Source organism: Homo sapiens, chromosome 8 (assembly GCF_000001405.40).
Source record: "Homo sapiens chromosome 8, GRCh38.p14 Primary Assembly".
NCBI classification, from domain to species: domain Eukaryota; kingdom Metazoa; phylum Chordata; class Mammalia; order Primates; family Hominidae; genus Homo; species Homo sapiens.
In genome coordinates this window covers 100,114,898-100,120,897 of record NC_000008.11, presented here as the reverse complement: position 1 = coordinate 100,120,897, position 6,000 = coordinate 100,114,898, and positions in this window count along the sequence as shown.

Genomic DNA, 6,000 nt, shown 5'->3' with positions numbered 1-6,000 from the left:
TCTCATGCCTCAGCCTCCCGAGTAGCTGGGATTACAGGTGTGTGCCACCACACCTGGCTATTTTTTTTTTTTTTTTTTTTTTTTTTTTTTTTTTTAGTAGCGATGGGGTTTCACCATATTGCCCAGACTGGTCTTGAACTCCTGACCTCAGGCGATCTGCCTGCCTCGGACTCCCAAAGTGTTGGGATTACAGGCGTGAGCCACTGTGCCCAGCCGAATTGTGTTCTTTAAATGGGTGAACTGTGATATGTCAATTATATCTCAATGAAGTTGTTACCAAAGAAATTAGCAAAACATTATAACAGTTTATAACCTAGGCATTTGGGTTCAAATTACTGTCTTTGTGGTTCTCACACCATTCTTTAATCTCGTGAGATTGCTTTTAGAGAGAAAGGCCACATAACATAGTGGTCAAAGAGCAAGGGCTTTGGAATCAGACTTTTGGCTTCAGCACTTTCAAGCTATGTATCTTTGAGCAAATCATCTCACCTTTCTAAGTTTTGTAAACTGTAAACTGAGACTAATATCAATCTCTTTGGGCTATTGTTAGGAGCCCATAGCAAATATGTAATAAATGTAATAAATGTTAGCTACTATTAATGTTAAAACAAATTGACTTCCCATCAGCATGGGCTATCTAAAATAGGGATGAACAAATCCTGCCTGTGAGCAAAGCACCATGCAGAATGATTGCAATGGAGAGCAACTCCAGAAGTTCATTTCAACAAAGATCTAGTGAGTGGTAGGCACTCAGCAGGGGATGTGGTGGGGCTGGGAGGAGGTTAAAATAAAATATAGCTCCCTCAGCCCCCAGGAATTTACTGTCTGGTGGGTGGCACTAGGGGAAGAGGGTGTACCTCTTTGTACCAGTGATTTTAATACATTTTTGAGATATGGGTTTGCCCCAAGTATTCAAGAGCAAGAGGAGAGACAAATGAAAATAATTCATGGGAAGGTATACTGAAGGAGATGAGACCCAAGCTGAGTTTTGAAGAATGAGAAAATTTAGCCTGGTAAAGAAAGGCCGGGAGAGTTTCTCTGGTGGTAGAAACAGCACAAGCAAATGCCTGAAGAGCCCACTTACATGCTAACTCTCAAACTGCTATCTCCCAAATTCTGGGTTCCTATGTCAAATGCAAACTGAAAATCTTCATTTGGATGACTAATAGACTTTTTTATTTTTTTCAAACTTTTTACGTTCAGGGGTACGTGTGCAGGATGTGCACGTTTGTTACATAGATAAATGTGTGCCATGATGGTTTGCTATACAGATCATCCTATTACCTAGGTATTAAGCCCAGCATCTATTAGCTGTTCTTCCTGATGTGCTCTCTCCTTCCATCTCTACCCTCCAACAGGCCCCAGTGTGTGTTGTTTCCCACCATGTGCTATCAATCAGCTCCCAGTTATAAGTTAGAACATGCAGTGTTTGGTTTTCTGTTCCTGTGTTAGTTTGCTGAGGATAATGGCTTCCAGCTCCATCCATATCCCTGCAAAGGACATGATCTCATTCCTTTTTATAGCTGCATAGTATTTCACGGTGTATATGTACCACATTTTCTTTATCCAGTCTATCATTGATGGGCATTTAGGTTAGTTCAATGTCTTTGCTATTGTGAAGAGTGTTGCAGTGAACATATGCATGCACATATCTTTATAATAGAATGATTTATAATCCTTTGGGTATATACCCAGGAATGCGATTGCTGGGTCAAATAGTATTTCTGCATCTAGGTCTTTGAGGAATTGCCACAGTCTTCCACAATGGTTAAGCTAATTTACACTCCTACCAACAGTGTAACAGTGTTCCTTTTCCTCCACAATCTTGTCAACGTCTATTGTTTCTTCTTTTTAATAATTGCCATTCTGACTGGTGCGAGATGGTATCTCATTGTGGTTTTGATTTGCATTTCTCTAACAATCAGCGATGTTGAGCTTTTCTTCATGTTTGTTGGCTGCATATATGTCTTCTTTTGAGAAGTGTCTGTTCATATCCTTTGCCCACTTTTTAATGGGGTTGTTTTTTTCTTGTAAATTTATTTAAGTACCTTGCAGATGCTGGATATTAGACCTTTGTCAGATGAATAGATTGCAGAAACTTTCTCCCATTCTGTAGGTTGTCTGTTCACCCTGATGATAGTTTCCTCTATCGTGCAGAAGCTCTTTAGTTTACTTAGATCCCATTTGTCAATTTTTGCTTTTGTTGCAATTGCTTTCGGTGTTTTAGTCATGAAATCTTTGCCGGTGCCTATGTCCTGAATGGTATTGCCTAGGTTGTCTTCCAGGGTTTTTATAGTTTTGCTTTGTTTGTTTGTTTGCTTGTTTGTTTGTTTTTTGAGACAGAGTCTCACTCTGTTGCCCAGGCTGGAGTGCAGTGGCACGATCTTGGCTCACTGCAACCTCTGCCTCCCAGGTTCAAGTGATTCTCCTGCCTCAGCCTCCCGAGCAGCTGGGACTACAGGTGTGAGCCACCACTCCCAGCTAATTTTTGTATTTTTAGTAGAGACAGGGTTTCACCATGTTGGCCAGGCTGCTCTTGAACTCCTGACCTCAAGTGATCCACCCGCCTTGGCCTCCCAAAGTGCTGGGATTTCAGGTGTGAGCCACCACACCTGGCCAAGTTTTGGATTTTACATTTAAGTCTTTAATCCATCTTGAGTTAATTTTTGCATATGGTGTAAGGAAGGGGTCCAGTTTCAATTTTCTGCATATGGCTAGCCAGCTATCCCAGCACCATTTATTAAATAGGGAATCCTTTCTCCATTTCTTGTTTTTGTCAGGTTTGTCGAAGATCAGATGGTTGTAGATGTATGATCTTATTTCTGGGCCTCTATTCTGTTCCATTGGTCTATGTGTCTGTTCTTGTACCAGTACCATGCTGTTTTGGCTACTGTAGCCCTGTAGTATAGTTTGAAGTTGGGTAGCATGATGCCTCCAGCTTTGTTCTTTTTGCTTAGGATTGTCTTGGCTATTTGGGCTCTTTTTTGGTTTTATATTTTTCTAGTTCTGTGAAGAATGTTCATGGTAGTTTAATGGGAATAGCACTGAACGTATAAGTTGCTTTGGGCAGTATGGCCATTTTCATGGTATTGATTCTTCCTTTCCATAAGCATGGAATGTTTGTCCATTTGTTTGTGTCATTTCTGATTTCTTTGAGCAGTGGTTTGTAGTTCTCCTTGAAGAGGTCCTTCACTTCCCTTGTTAGTTGTATTCCTAGGTATTTTATTCTTTTTGTGGCAATTGTGAATGGGAGTTCATTCATGATTTGGCTCTCTGCTTGCCTGTTGTTGGTGTATAAGAATGCTAGTAATTTTTGCACATTGATTTTATATCCTGAGACTTTGCTGAAGTTGCTTATCAGCTTAAGAAGCCTTTGGGCTGAGACAATGGGGTTTTCTGGATATAGGACATGTCATCTGCAAACAAAGATAGCTTGACTTCTTCTCTTTCTATTCGAATACACTTTATTTCTGTCTCTTGCCTGATTCCCCTGGCCAGAACTTCCAATACTGTGTTGAATAGGAGTGGCAAGAGAGGGCATCCTTGTGTTGATTTTCAAGGGGGATGCTTCTAGCTTCTGCCTATTCAGTATGATATTGGCTGTGGGTTTGTCATGTATGGCTCTTATTATTTTGAGGCATGTTCCTTCAATACCTAGTTTATTGAGAGTTTTTAACATGAAGGGATGTTGAAGTTTATCAAAGGCCTTTTCTACATCTATTGAGATAATCATGTGGTTTTTTTCTTTAGTTCTGTTTATGTGATGAATCACATTTATTGATTCGTGTGTGTTGAACCAATCTTGCATCCCAGGAATGAAGCCTAGTTGATCGTGGTGGATAAGTTTTTGATGTACTGCTGGATTTTGTTTGCCAGTATTTTATTGAGGATTTTTGCATTGATGTTCATCAAGGATATTGGCCTGAAGTTTTCTTTTTTTTGTTGTATCTCTGCCAGGTTTTAGTATCAGGATGATGCTGGCCTCATAGAATGAGTTATGGAGGAGTCCCTCCTTTTCAACTGTTTGGAATAGTTTCAGTAGAAATGGTACCAGCTATTCTTGGTATCTCTGGGTAGAATTCAGCTGTGAATCTGTTTGGTCCTCAGCATTTTTTTGTTGTTGTTGTTGTTAGGCTATTACTGCCTCAATTTCAGAACTCATTATTGGTCTATTCACAGATTCAATTTATTCCTGGTTCAGTCTTGGGAGGGTGTATGTGTTTAGGAAGTTATCTATTTCCTTTGGATTTTATAGTCTATGTGCATAGAGGTGTTTATAGTTTTCTCTGATGGTGGTTTGTATTTCTATGGAATCAGTGGTGATATCCCCCTTAACATTTCTGATTGTGTTTATTTGAATCTTCTCTCTTTTCTTCTGTATTAGTCTAGCTAGTGGTCTATTACTTAAAAAAGAAAAAAAACAGCTTCTGGGTTCGATAATTTTTTGAAGGGTTTTTCATGTCTCTATCTCCTTCAGTTCAGCTCTGATCTTGGTTATTTCTTGTCTTCTGCTAGCTTTGGGGTTTGTTTGCTCTTGGTTCTCTTGTTCTTTTAGTTGTGATGTTAGGTTGTTAACTTGAGATCCTTCTACCTTTTCGATGTGAGCATTTAGTGCTATATATTTCCCTTTTAACACTGCTTTAGCCGCATCCCAGAGATTCTGGTATGTTGTATCTTTGTTCTCATTAGTTTCAAAGAACTTTTTGATTTCTGCCCTAATTTCATTATTTACCCAAGAGTCATTCAGAAGCAGGTTGTTCAATTCCCATATAGTTGTGTGGTTTTGAGTAAATCTCTTAATCTTGAGTTCTAATTCGATTCCCCGGTGGTCTGAAAGACTGTTATGATTTCAGTTATTTTGAATTTGCTGAGAAGTGTTTTACATCTGATTATGTGGTCAAATTTAGAGTAAGTACTGTGTGGCAATGGGAAGAATGTATATTCTGCTGTTTTGGGGTGGAGAGTTCTGTAGACATCTATCAGGTCCACTTGATCCAGAGCTAAGTTCAGGTCCTGAATATCGTTGTTAATTTTCTATCTCAATGATCTGTCTAATATTGTCAGTAGAGTGTCTAATATTGTCAGTAGGTCTCCCATTGTTATTGTATGGGAGTTTAAGTTTCATTGAAGGTCTCTAAGAACTTGCTTTATGAATTTGGGTGCTCCTGTATTGGGTGCATATATATTTAGGATAGTGTATTAGGGTTCTCCAGAGGGACAGAACTAATAGGAGAGATACATATATATGGATATATATATATATATATATATATCCATATATATGTATCTATATATAGGTATACATATATCCATACATATGTATCTATATATAGGGGTATATATATATCCATACATATGTATCTCTATATAGGGGTATATATATATATATATCCATATATGTATGTATCTATAGGGGTGTGTGCGTGTGTGTGTATATATATATATATCCCTATGGTGTATAGGGATCGCTATACATCCTAATAAGCTCCCTTTTATATATATATAAAGGGATATATATTATAAACATATATATATAAAGGGATATATATTATAAACATATATATAAAGGGATATATATTATAAACATATATATATAAAGGGACATATATTATAAACATATATATATATAAAGGGATATATATTATAAACATATATATAAAGGGATATATATTATAAACATATATAAAGGGATATATATTATAAACATATATATATAAAGGGATATATATAATGGGGAGCTTATTAGGATATATATATATACACACACACACATATATATGTATGTATGTAAAGGGGAGTTTATTAAGTATTAACTTACACAATCACAAGGTCCCACAATAGGCTGTCTGCAAGCTGAGGAGCAAGGAGAGCCAGTCCGAGCCCCAAAACTGAGGAACTTGGAGTCTGATGTTCGAGGGCAGGTAGCATCCAGCATGGGAGAAAGATGTAGGCTGGGAGGCTAGGCTAGTCTCTCCTTTTCACATTTTTCTGCCTGCTTTA